Raw genomic sequence first — 13,882 nt, forward strand, 5'->3', positions numbered from 1 at the left:
CCTCTTGAGTAGCTGGGACTACAGGCACCCGTCACCACGCCTGGCTAATTTTTTGTATTTTTAGTAGAGACGGGGTTTCACCATGTTAGCCAGGATGGTCTCCATCCCCTGACCTCGTGATCCACCTGCCTCGGCCTCCCAAAGTGCTGGGATTGCAGGCATGAGCCACCGCATCTGGCCGGAACTTTCATATATGATTGAGGGGCATGTAAAATGGTATTAAGTAACTGTTAAACTTTGGAAGACAGTTTAACAGTTACTTAAAAATCAAACATACGCCAATCGGAAGATCTAGCCATTCCACTCCTAGGTATTATATTTATTCAAGAGAAATGAAAGCATATTTCTACACAGTATATATGCTAATGTTCATGACAGCCTTATTTGTAATAGCCAAAAACTAGAAATGACCCAAATTGTCTATCACCTGGTAAATAGATAAACAAATTGTGGTATATCCACACTGTAGAATACTACTCAGCAATAAGAAGGGAATGAAGTATTGATATACACAACATGGATGAATCTCAAAGTAACTACGTTGAGTGAAAGAAGCCAGACCAAAAGCAAGTCCAAACTGTATGACTCCCTTTATGTACTACAATACATGCTCATGCATGTCTGCTATATGGACAGATCCTACTGTACACACAATTGTTTTCTACTCTTTCGATTGTCACAGCTCCATTTTTATCAGATTTTTGGAATTCTGAATGTTATCCATGTTTTTAATCCATGATTTTTATAAAACTTCAATTTAGTGAGTCAGTTTTTGAAAAAAGTCTCCACTTAGAAAGCTGATAATAAGATTCTGAAAATGAGTTGAGTCTTAAATTTTGTGAAGATTTATAATCATTTATACTTTCCATAACTGTATGTTGTGAAAGGATAACACTGTTCCTCAGTCATCTCCTGTGTGTGCTTGTATATTTGACAGTCTGACTTACTCTCTGTGGTAGGGTTTTAGCAGCAGCAGAAGAAAATAGCAAAATGGAGCAATCAAACTTAGAAAAGTTGGAATTGAATGTCAGAAAACTGCAGCAGGAACTAGACCAACTAAACAGAGACAAGTTGTCACTGCATAACGACATTTCAGCAATGCAACAGCAGCTCCAAGGTATAAGGCAGCAAAACAGTGAAAGTGTGTGATTTCCTTGCCCTTCGTTAGATTCTTTGATTTTTCTTACGACAAGTAATTCCTGCTAATGAGCATGGTGTTTCTTTCTAAAATTAGATTGTGGTAATGTTTGCACAACTTGGAATATACTAAAAGCCTTTGAATTGTACACTTTAAATAGGACATGATATGTGAATTTTATCTCAATAAAGTCAGTTAAAAAAAAAAACCTAATTCATGTTCCTTAGAGAACAATTTTAAAACAGCAAAAAGAAATAAAAATTGCTGTTGACCTCACTCCTCATAGATTCCTAGTAACAGTTTGGTGAATATCCTTCCAGATTTTTCCTAGGGGTGTGTCTAGTTTGAAAAACAAAAACAAAGATGTAAATAATGAAGATTTTAAAATTACCAAATGTTTATAAATATGATAATTTATTTAGAAGAAATTGCTGAGTAATTCTAGCTAATAATATACTTGTTGAACATTTTTTATATCCTTGGTATTTCATTTTCTCACTTAATCCTCATAACATTTTTATGAGATAAAAATTATTTTACTCATTTGTAAATAAGGAAACTGAAGCTTAGTTTTCTTGTGACTGCTTAAATGAGAAGTGACTTGCTAGAGGTCACACAGCTAGTAATTGACAAAGCCAATATAGATAAAAAATTTATTCCCAAATTGCCTTCCTGAAAGGTTAAGTTTCTATTTCTACCAGCAATGCAGAAGGTAGCTGTTTTTAAACACCTAACATTAAGTATTATCTGTAATTTTTTCGTTGTGAGATTTTGAACATGAAAATCTTTAAAAACCTGAGCTCCAAGCCCAAATCTGGATTGTGCATGTAACTCTCTTTTGGCCTTTAATGAGATAGTGTGGCATAGTCATACATGTAACAGGAGTAAGCTTAAAACAACTTCTCTACTTTTTGGGAATGCTAATGGGAATCTGTACAGTAAATACGTATGTATTTCTTATTTCATGAGAATGTCATTTCTTTAGAAAAACGAGAAGCAGTAAACTCACTGCAGGAGGAACTAGCTAATGTCCAAGACCATTTGAACCTAGCAAAACAGGTAAGGTTAACAAATGTAATATTCTAGTAGTATACTGAGGGTATGCAGACCATTGGTTTAAATAACAAAGAAATCAAGTAGGCTGGTTCCTCTTCACAACAGCAGATACCGTAGGGCCATTTATGTAACATAACCATCACATAAATAAAAGTTTTGATGGAGAGCAGTGGTTTGCTAATTTATTTTAGCCTTAGAACTCTTGATACAAACAGTTTTACTCAAAGCTAGTAAGTAGGGTGGTGGCTAGACCAGAGCCCAGCAGCAGTCTCTCAGCAGCCCTTCTTGGGGTTTCAGGGACCAGATGGGCCATCTCTCATCCATGACACAGATGAGGCCTCTAAAGGCTGGGCTTAGATTTGATTACTCCTTGAGCCATAGAGTACCCGCCAAATCTGGGCCTCTATCTTGTCAGATATTGAATATAGCAGATTTTTGACCCTCATACTTCTAATGATTTTCTTAAAGGTAATTCAGTGTTGTCCTGTGAGACTAGTGCTGTAATTCAAAGCACTTCAAACAAGTTCTAGACTTCAGTTTCTATTATGTAAATTAAGAGTTATGCCAGGTGCAGTGGCTCACACCTGTAATCCCAGCACTTTGGGAGGCCAAGGCGGGCAGATCACCTGAAGTCGGGAGTTCAAGACCAGCCTGACCAACATGGAGAAACCCCATCTCTACTAAAAATACAAAATTAGCCAGGCGTGGTGGCACATGCCTGTAATCCCAGCTACTCGGGAGGCTGAGGCAGGAGAATCGCTTGAACCCGAGAGGCGGAGGTTGCCGTGAGCTGAGATTGCACCATTGTACTCCAGCCTGGGCAACAAGAGTGAAGCTCTGTCTCAAAAAAAAAAAAAGTTAACATTAGACACAGGCCATCCCAGCACTTTGGGAGGCCAAGGCAGGTGGATCACTTGAGCCCAGGAGTTCGAGATCAGCCTGGCCAACATGGTGAAACCCCGTCTCTACGAAAAAGACAAAAAATTAGCTGGGTATGGTGGCATGTGCCTGTAGTCCCAGCTACTCGAGAGGCTGAGACGGGAGGATTGCTTGAACCTGGGAGGCAGAGGTTGCAGTGAGCCGAGATCATGCCACTGCACTCCAGCCTTGGCAACAGAGCAAGACTGTCAAAAAAAAAAAAGTTGGATTAGACATCTAAATTCTCTTGTACCTGTAAGTTTATTGAGATAATAAAGGAAATAAACTTTTATGCCTCTCGTTCTGTCAGACTTAGTAGATACTGGATTGGCACTGACCACCTCTAGTAAAGATGGCTTTATTAGTAGTTTCCACTTGTTCTTTCACCTAAAGGACCTGCTTCACACCACCAAGCATCAGGATGTGTTGCTCAGTGAGCAGACCCGACTCCAGAAGGACATCAGTGAATGGGCAAATAGGTTTGAAGACTGTCAGAAAGAAGAGGAGACAAAACAACAACAACTTCAAGTGCTTCAGAATGAGATTGAAGAAAACAAGCTCAAACTAGTCCAACAAGAAATGGTACTACACATTTATGATTTTACATAAAAAAAGCATTTTGTGGCTCATGTGAGCCTATTTTTCCCCTGGCAGAAAGCTGCTGAGAAATATCCCCAATGGGACTATGTGTCCCTTAACTGCCCTGTGTAGCCATGGGTGGCATTTATACCAACTGTGTGACTCTCTTACAGACCTTTAACGATCATAGAACATCAGTCCTGTAAAGATACTTAACAGCCACGTGCCATTTGCTGCTTGAATCCCCTCCTCACATGCTGGCCAGATAGCTTCCCAAGCCCTCTTGATCACCTCTGTAATGGAATTGTCCCTGTGGGCTGTCTTCTACTTTCTTTTGACCTGGAATCTGTCTCATGTCCATGCAGGTTCTCTGGGACACTATTTGTTGTTTAATGACTAATCAAGATTATTCTTTATTAAGATGTTTCAGAGACTCCAGAAAGAGAGAGAAAGTGAAGAAAGCAAATTAGAAACCAGTAAAGTGACACTGAAGGAGCAACAGCACCAGCTGGAAAAGGAATTAACAGACCAGAAAAGCAAACTGGACCAAGTGCTCTCAAAGGTGCTGGCAGCTGAAGAGCGTGTTAGGACTCTGCAGGAAGAGGAGAGGTGGTGTGAGAGCCTGGAGAAGACACTCTCCCAAACTAGTATGTATTCTGGAACTTCTCACTGGGAGATGGGGTATGGATTGGCTCTGCTGGTTGTCTTGCAAAAGTATTTAAAGAGATCCGGACCCCAGCCAGAGCCCAGGAGAGGAGGCAGGAGAAGTAAAGCAGGAGGTATGATAGCCCTGTGAAAGATGAGGAAGCAGGTTCAGAGGAGATACAATCCTGAGACTGACCAGCAAGTCCTTCCTTGCTCATATTGTCTCCTTTGAGAATGCCATCTCAAGAAAGTGGAACATTCACGTGAATAATTGCCAAAAGATACTCTTAAAGTATATTACCTATGAGCTTTGGGAATAATGATCTACTTCATCTCAAGTGTCAAAAAAATCATATTAACAGTTCTTTTGTCCAGATTTGGCATAGTGAATGGTACCAGAATACAGGTGTTTGCTTTTAGGTCAGTTTGTTCTCTCTTGAACCATATATAAATGAAGTTGACGTGGGAATCCAGGGTAAATGATTGTTCTCACATCAGTAAATGGTTTTTCTCTTTCTTAGGCTCCAGGGTTTAATAATGCTTGGAAAATGTTGTGGGCTTGGGGATCTGAAAGGGTTGTTATTCCTTTTTCCCTGGGAACTCTTGATATACCCAGACCCAATCATTTCATTATGAAAATGAAACTTAAAAAAATATGTCGAGTTCTGATCATGCCAGAGTTGTTGAAAAGTAAAATCTGGGCAGGGTGCTCCTCTAGGGTGATAAGAAAAATATTTTTTAAATGTCACTTTTATTTCGTAAGCATTATCTGTCGAGTACTCACTATGTACCAGGCGTTTGCACACATTATTCCAATTGAACATCAGGAAATGTTTTCCTCTTCTATAAAATGGGGCTCATGCCAGTGTAGGAGCCAGCTCCAAATCCTGTGCACTTTCCACTGCACTGCCTCCTGTGGAAGGAAGTAGTACTGGTGTGTCTCCCTTTATGAAAATCAATGTTTATAAAAAACATTTCAGCTGTTCCACACACTTCAGGATTGGTGCTGGGTTTCCTCTCACTGGTCTCAAAGACTTGAAAGAGAAGATAGTAGCTATCTGTCACTCTGGGATCAGGCCCTCCAGGAACCAATTACTTCAAAAGGCACCCTTATCTGGGTTTTTTCTGGGCCTTTGGTGTGGGTCAGGGTAGGCTTGTACGACTTTGTAATGGAGGAAAGCACCTGCATGGGTAGCATATCACCATTATGCATCTGCCACAAGGGAAGGGGAGCTCTGCCCACAGCTGGCTCGGGGTCTTTGGCTAAACCTACTGAAAATGCTCATTTCAGAACGGCAGCTTTCAGAAAGGGAGCAGCAATTGGTGGAGAAATCAGGTGAGCTGTTGGCCCTCCAGAAAGAGGCAGATTCTATGAGGGCAGACTTCAGCCTTCTGCGGAACCAGTTCTTGACAGAAAGAAAGAAAGCTGAGAAGCAGGTGGCCAGCCTGAAGGAAGCACTTAAGATCCAGCGGAGCCAGCTGGAGAAAAACCTTCTTGTGAGTACCTGCTGCCGTGGCAGTTTGTGAGGAAATGATAAATTTAAAATTTTAAACTGCAACACCACTTCAACACAGAGAAAATAAATTACCCATCAACCCAGTCCTGAACCCAGCTGTTGTTATTGATGTATTTATGCATCATTTGTCCTTGAAGTTGATGGTAAGTTTTACCTGGGACGGGTGCAGCCTCAATGGAGCTCTGGCTGGCTGGGGAGACTGTTGGTGTGAACAGCCATTATCAGCACAAAGTAGACAGCATGTTCTGCCAGCAAGCCTCAGTTTACACCTCCACTGGCAGGGAGGAGGGGGTGTTGAAGAAGCCTTCTCTAGACGGTTGTTTTTTAAGATGGCATCTTGCTTTGTCTCCCATGCTAGATTGAGTGGCGCAATCTCAGCTCACTGCAGCCTCTGCTTCCTGGGTTCAAGCGATTCTCATGCCTCAGCCTCCTGAGTAGCTGGGACTACAGGTGTGCGCCACCACGCCCGACTAATTTTTGTATTTTTAGTAGAGATGGGGTTTCACCAGGTTGACCAGGCTAGTCCTGAACTCCTGACCTCAGGTGATCCACCTGCCTCAGCCTCCCAAGGTGCTGGGATTACAGGCATGAGCTACCGTGCCTGGCTCATAGAGAGTTTATTTTTATTTTTATTTTCAAGACAGAGTCTTGCTCTGTCGCCCAGTCTGGAGTGCAGTGGCATGATCTCAGTTCACTGCAACCTCCACCTCCCAGGTTCAAGCAATTCTCCTGTCTCAGCCTCCTGAGTATCTGGAATTACAGGCGTGTGCCACCATGCCTGGATAATTTTTGTATTTTTAGTAGAGACGGGGTTCACCATGTTGGCCAGGCTGGTCTTGCACTCCTGACCTTGTGATCCACACGACTTGGCCTCCCAAAGTGCTGGGATTACAGGCATAAGCCACCGCGCCTAGCCAGTTTTATTACACTGCTGTAGTCAGTGCCTACAAATTTTTCTCATCCTGCCCTTTTTGGCCAACATTAGCTTTAATCATTATCCTAAAACCAGGAAGCTCAATCTACCATGCTTTCATCCTTGAAATAAATTTGGGAAGTGACACTCAGGTCAGAATAATTTATGGTGGATGGAGACAGGTGAGCAGCAATGGAACTGTCAAGGGGGAGGATTTTTCCACTACCCTCTGGAGGGGTTAGTGGAGCCCTGTTGTATGAAAGGAACTTTTAAACCATGTGTGTCTCTCAAAGGGGATACGCTGATAACTAGTGATAGGCAGATCGTCATAAAGATGGAATATAGATGTCTAAAATTTAATCCTACCAGTAACCCTGTGATGATGGGTATTATTATTCTCATTTTACAGACAATTAATGAAGACTCAGAAAGGGATAGTAGCTTATTATCAAAGGTAATGCTAACAGACTCTGACGTGTATATACGCCCAGCTGTATTTGATCTGCCCATGAAAGGCCGATAGAATTATCCCCATTTGACAGCTAGAGAAGCTGAGGCCCAGAAGGGGAATGAAGTTATAGAGCTAGTGAGTGTGTAAGCCAGCAAACCACACCTCCATGTGTTAGATCGCAGAGTTATTTTCTTCCTCCTGTGCTAGGAGCAAAAACAGGAGAACAGCTGCATACAAAAGGAAATGGCAACAATTGAACTGGTAGCCCAGGACAACCATGAGCGGGCCAGGCGCCTGATGAAGGAGCTCAACCAGATGCAGTATGAGTACACGGAGCTCAAGAAACAGGTGTGTGCCCAGAAAGCCCAGCTGGCCAGCCTGGGGAGAGAGGACTCACTGGGCTCAGGCAGATTGTATTGTTTTTAATATCCCTTCTATAGTAGTATAGAAAAGCTGATTATAAGAATGTTCTTTAAGTCAAATCTGGTTTTTTAGCCTTAAAATTTAGAAACACACCTTGACTATTAAAAATATAAATTTCTCTTAAATTTGACAAGCTCTTAAAATGTTAGTTTTTCAAGGAAAAAAGGTAATTCTTGAGCATCATATTTCATGTCCCAAAGAACTATGTTGAAATGCTAGATTTTATGCCATAAACAAGTCTATAGGAGCCAAAACCTCCCCTACCCCTTGAGCAAGAAAAGATGGTCCGGGGGAAACCTTTGATATCACATAATGTAGCCAGGCAGAGAGTATTAAACCAGTTCATGCCTGGACTGGTAGAGTCTCTAATCCTTGATATCTCTGGTGTCCTTTAGAGCATCTGGGCCATCCCTGAACTCTAGTCGGGCTGCTGTAGCCACTCATTTGGCCCTGCTATACTTAGTCTTTTGGGTGACCCCACGTGGCCATTCTAGTTTCATCTGTGCTTCCAATCCCCTGATGCCCCACATATACCCACCATTTAATTCAAGAAAAAATAACCAAAAAAAAATTATTTAAAGACCACAAGCCCTTAGTGATTTTGCCTTTGCAAATTTGGTAAGGCAATTAGCAGTAGGTATAAATTTCATATTTCACTAAGCTCTATATGGGGTAGAGCCACATAGAGTAGTCTCAGGCATCAAATGCAGTTGGTAACACTTTAAGAAACCTCTAGGCTGGGTGCGGTGCTGCATTCCTGTAATCCCAGCACTTTAGGAGGCCAAGATAGGTGGATCGCTTGAGCTCAGGAGTTCAAGACCAGCCTGGGAAACATGCCGAGACCCCGTCTCTACTAAAAATACAAAAAGTAGCTAGGTGTGGTGGTGTACACCTGTAGTCCCAGCTATTCGGGAGGCTGAGGGGGGAGGATTGCTTGAGCCTGGGAGGTTGAGACTGCAGTGAGCCAAGATTGTGCCACCGCCCTCCAGCCTGGGTGACAGAGCAAGACCCTGTCTTTAAAAAAACAAAACAAAACAAAAATGTATATTGCCAAGCCACCAGATTCTTCACTTATAAAATTCCAGCATTAGCATTTATAATCCAGATCACTTATGACTTATTTCAGTAAATGGCCCTTTTCTCATTTGTGGCTTATTTACTCTAGTTGCCAGTTGGGTGCCACTGAGGTGCTTCATGTAAATTCTCACTTAGTTTTTACATTTCTGAGCAGAAGGTATTTATCTCCATGTATAAATGAGGTAATGGAGGATCAGATGTTAGCCAACTTGCCCTGTCATACTGGTAATACTGGAAATCAGATTGGTAACTAGCTTTGTCTGACTCCAAAGAGATTGTCTTCTATAGAGTAATTCACCTTCAAGGAACTTTATGCACATGGCTTTTCTAAATGAAAGTTGTTCCAGTTAAAATGCCAATAAAATAATTTATTCAGTAGCTTATAGAGTCTTGAGTATCTGAAAAATCACAAGTTTTTACAGTTCTAGTAATCATAGTAGTTGATATTTATAGATCTTTAAATACATGGCACATCATACAGCTCAATTCCAAGTAAGTCTGAAATTTTATACAATGATATTTGACACCAACTCACTGTTTAGATGGCAAACCAAAAAGATTTGGAGAGAAGACAAATGGAAATCAGTGATGCAATGAGGACACTTAAATCTGAGGTGAAGGATGAAATCAGAACCAGCTTGAAGAATCTTAATCAGTTTCTTCCAGAACTACCAGCAGATCTAGAAGCTATTTTGGAAAGAAACGAAAACCTAGAAGGAGAATTGGAAAGCTTGAAAGAGAACCTTCCATTTACCATGAATGAGGGACCTTTTGAAGAAAAACTGAACTTTTCCCAAGTTCACATAATGGTAAGGGTTTATCCTGCTATTCTCTGGGTTCGTAGGATTGACCACCTCCCCCAGCTAAGCTAAAACACAGATGTGGGGGTGCTGGGGTAGGGGAGGGAAAGGCTGGTTGGCTTCCATTTGTAGCAGCAGATGATTCATGATATCTCTATTTTCCCTCTGAGAAAGGATGAACACTGGCGTGGAGAAGCACTCCGGGAGAAACTGCGTCACCGGGAAGACCGACTCAAGGTTGCCCTTTAAAACAAACAAAAAATCAGTATGAGATACTGGGCACATTGGGGAGGGGAGGGGAAAGTTACATTTACCTGATGCTTTCACATCCATGCTGTTGCAGCCCTGCCAGCAGTGTCAGGGATGGCATGTCTGAAGCTTCGAGGAGTTGGTGTCACACAGTAAATGGCAATCAGTGTTCAAAACCATGACTTCTTGTGTTGACTCCAGTGTTCTTTAACCTATGTAATGCTGCTTTACCTCAGCTAGAACCGATAGAATCTAAGTATTTGGGAGAGGAAGTAGAAACACAGTGATGAACTGTAAGGTTATCATAGGCCAGTGGTGGCAGGAAAGATTTGGGATACTGGAAAAGTAGGCTGAATGTCAGGTAAGGAATTGTTTGGCTCAGAACATGTTGACTTTGAAGGCCTTGTGAGATATCCAGGGAAGGATATCTGTCTGTAGGCAGCCAAAAATAGGAGTCTAGGATTACTGATCAGTGTTGACCTAAAGATTTGAGAGTTAAGAGTATAGGTGGGAGGTTACATTTATGTGGGGGGAATGGCTATGTAGACAGCATGGGATGAGAGAGTGCAGTGCTATAGTATTGAGTGGAGCCCTGTGATGTCCAACAATAGTCTCCAGCCATGTGTGGTTATTTAAATTTTAATAAATTATAATTAAGTTAAAAATTCAGTTATTCATTTGCCACATTTCAAGTGCTTAATAGCCACATGTGTCTAGTGGCTTCTATATTTATAGCCAGAGGTAGAACATTCCCATCATTGCAGAAAGTTCTGTTGGACAGCGCTGCTATAGACTTTGAGAGAATAATTTGATTATAGCAGGGGCAAAAGCCAAAAAGTAGTATGAAGTTGAGGATTAAATACCTAATCATTTATAGACAAGAAACTAAGACTTAGGAAAAAATACATAATCAGGAGACACTCCAGTTGTCAAGTATAAACTGATCTTCTCAGTCATAACAGAAAAGGAAAAAAGAGATGAGGCAATAATTTAATGGAGAAGCAAGGGATACAGAAATCCTAAGCACTGCTAGCATGGAAAAACTGGGCCAAGTGAAAGACCCCGTTAATGACAACACAGAAAAGTAAAGGTTTATGCACACTAAGTATCCACCTGGCACCTCCTACAATTCTTTTTAAAGATGAGCATTTTTGACAGCCATTCCTACTGTTAGCCAGATTTGCCTATCAAATGTATGTGAGGAAGCTGAGCGGCAGTTCTGGTACATTTCTTCTGTGTAAAACCCTAAGTCTTATCACACTTTTCAGGCCCAACTCCGACACTGTATGTCCAAGCAAGCAGAAGTATTAATTAAAGGAAAGCGGCAGACAGAGGGCACTTTACACAGTTTGAGGAGACAAGTAGATGCTTTAGGGGAATTGGTCACCAGCACCTCTGCAGATTCAGCGTCATCACCCAGTCTGTCTCAGCTGGAGTCTTCCCTCACAGAGGACTCTCAACTTGGACAAAATCAGGTAAGCAGCAGCTCTTTTTAAAAACAAAACAATAGCCTGAGGTTGTTTTTTGTCTTTTTTGAGACAAGGTCTTGCCCTACCGCCCAGGCTGGAGTGCATTGGTACCATCACAGCTCACTGCAGCCTTGACCTCCCAGGCTCAAGTGATCCTCCCACCTCAGCCTCCCATGTAGCTGGGACTACAGGCACACACCACTTGGCTTGGCCACTTTTTAAAATTTTTTGTAGAGATGGAGGTCTTGCTGGGTTGCCAGGGCTGGTCTCAAACTCCTGGGCTCAAGCGATCCTCCTGCCTCGGCCTCCCAAAATGCTGGGATTACAGGCGTGAGCCACCACGCTGAGCCAAGAGGAAACTCGTAAGATAGGATTTAATATATTACATAGAAAGTACTTAAAAGCCGTGGGGTGTATAATCTAGAGGAGATTCAGAAAAATATAGATTATGCCGCCTTCAACTCTCTGAAAAACTTGTCTTAGCAAAGACTTGGTAGAGGTAGATAAGCTGATGGCTTAGGAAACAGACTACGACTGCAGATTGGATGACCTGGCAGGGATATAGTTAATTCTACTATTCATGTCCTCCACTTCTGGATTTATTTATTTCCTACTCTGTCAATATAAAGAGCTTAGACCTGTGAGGCCAATATGAGTCCTAGTTTAGTATGTCTCCCTGCATTTTGTAACTTACATTTACAGAGTTGGAATTCAGACCTCTTAACCTAAGGTCTATAAAAACCCTGAATTTCACAAAGGTTTTCTGTGTGAGCTTAGATAAGGTTAATAAGCATTTAAGAGGAACATGAAATATACTCATGGAACTGGTAAGTAGTAGCACACACAACTGTCAGAGATAGGTAACAGCTTCCATTTTCCAGTGCCTATTGTGTGCACATACAAAACTTTATATATATCATCTAATTTTTACATCCTTGGAGGTAGGACTTATCCTTTTATATAGATAAGGAATCTGTACAAAATGATAAATGATTTGGTCAAGGACATAGCAAAGGACAACAGCAGGACTTGCGGGCTAATCTATCTTTACCACAGAGCAGTATATTTTAATGGTGGAGCCACAAGGAGCTTTCAAGGACAGTTGCCTCTTTAATGTGCCCAAGGTGGGCAAGTGACTTACCTAGTTCACACAGCTAATTAGCAGCAGGGCCATTAGCAGCAGGGCCATCTGAATATGATTATCTTAACACCATCTGTGGTGGACCCAGTCAGGTAAAGGCCAAAATCATCATGGGCCTTAGGGCAGGGTTCGAGGAGGAGTGTGAGAGGCACTGGGCATTGAATAGGGAAGCTTTGGGGATGAGACAGCCCAGAGTAGTGAGAGAAGAGTAGAGTGCACAAGGGCTTAAAAGCCAGCTTCAATTACCAGCTCAAGGTGGCAGCCAGAGTTATTTAGTTGCTTTAAAGGCAACCAACGCACAGTGGGTAGGGGCGAGATTGGTAGAATTATTTAGAAGTCTGGGGTTGTAATCCAGGCCTATATGGGATAAAAGCCTGAACTAGTTAAAAGTTAGGGGGCTGGCTTCTGAGCGTAACATTTTATTTCCCTTTTTTTCTGGTAAGAACAGATACTACACTTGATCTTAGTCAAAAGGCTGAGAGCTCCTTCCAGCAAGTTCTGCAAGGTCCATCAGAACCACTAGACAGTTACTGACACTGATGCCATCCCTGCTCACAGGATAGATGTTACAGATTTTTTTTTAAACTAGAACTTTTAATTGGAGGATCTTGAATTTTAGCAGTTTTAAGAATAACCGTTTAATTTTTTCTCTCAGAATTTTGTACACTGGTTCATCTTAAAACATTTTTCCAAAGAGGTACTCAAATATGTCATTTACCTATAAGCCATCATGCCATCACTTAGTTAAGACTGTTTTTACTGTTTCAAGAATTTGATTTATCCTTCCTTTTGTCTTACTGTAGGAAAAGAATGCCTCAGCCAGATGAGGAATACTGTCTTGTGTAAATATATTCAAGGAAAACACCTCCACTACCTCACTGACTTCATAATTGGAATGTCACATGGTTTTTTTAATCAAGATGCAGTGAACTGAGATTCTGAAACTCCACTGTAGTTTACTTTGCCTGTACCATTAATGCCAATGTTTTTATAAATCACTTGTACATAGTACATATGGGAATAGTTGCATATGGGAATTTAAACCAACATGTGGCTGAGCCTTTTTTTTTTTAATCTTCGTAACATGTTTAAAAAAAAACAGTGATTTTAACTGCATATTTGAACCTACAAACTGGTAAATCTTATTAACAAAAAGAATGTACTTAAGGCCCTCTTTATTTATAGTGTCGAGTTATTTTTGAATTTTGCTTAAAATCTATTTTTCATATGAAAATAAAAGATAACAATCAACTTGGGTCTGTCCTCTGACTTTACACTTCACAGGTCATTCTATGGAAAAGCCGTCAAATTTTTACCTTATTCCAAGTAAGTAATCTTTCAGGTGGTTTTCTTTTACCTGGAGGCTGAAGTACATTATACTTATCAATGAAGATTTCATCATTTGGAAATACATCAATTATAAAACTATTATGCTTCAGATGCCTTTCCTTAGCCAACATATTCTTTGGTGGAAAATCAGGAAAACTTTGTACCTTGGAGAATGTG

At 41.2% G+C, this 13,882-nt stretch overlaps 1 protein-coding gene and 1 pseudogene across 33 annotated transcripts in view; one reads left to right on the forward strand and one right to left on the reverse strand.

Annotated features, from left to right (window-relative positions):
• Positions 1–13,627, forward strand: part of CNTRL (centriolin) — a 102,656-nt gene extending 89,029 nt beyond the window's left edge. For 17 of the 33 annotated variants that reach the window (XM_047422667.1, XM_047422677.1, XM_047422670.1 and 14 more), the window contains 11 exons: positions 960–1,117; positions 2,124–2,197; positions 3,506–3,694; positions 4,113–4,338; positions 5,628–5,833; positions 7,176–7,220; positions 7,425–7,565; positions 9,260–9,526; positions 9,692–9,754; positions 11,035–11,241; positions 13,180–13,627. In XM_047422667.1, coding sequence (XP_047278623.1) covers positions 960–1,117; positions 2,124–2,197; positions 3,506–3,694; positions 4,113–4,338; positions 5,628–5,833; positions 7,176–7,220; positions 7,425–7,565; positions 9,260–9,526; positions 9,692–9,754; positions 11,035–11,241; positions 13,180–13,203 — 1,600 coding nt within the window. In that variant the 3' untranslated portion in view covers positions 13,204–13,627. The remainder of the gene's footprint in view (positions 1–959; positions 1,118–2,123; positions 2,198–3,505; positions 3,695–4,112; positions 4,339–5,627; positions 5,834–7,175; positions 7,221–7,424; positions 7,566–9,259; positions 9,527–9,691; positions 9,755–11,034; positions 11,242–13,179) is intronic. The other 16 variants (XM_047422669.1, NM_007018.6, XM_047422674.1 and 13 more) reach the window with 5 other exon arrangements.
• On the reverse strand, positions 12,698–12,860 carry LOC124902357 (uncharacterized; annotated as a pseudogene).
• Positions 13,628–13,882: the final 255 nt, after the last annotated feature.

This window comes from Homo sapiens, chromosome 9, assembly GCF_000001405.40.
Source record: "Homo sapiens chromosome 9, GRCh38.p14 Primary Assembly".
Lineage (NCBI taxonomy): Eukaryota > Metazoa > Chordata > Mammalia > Primates > Hominidae > Homo > Homo sapiens.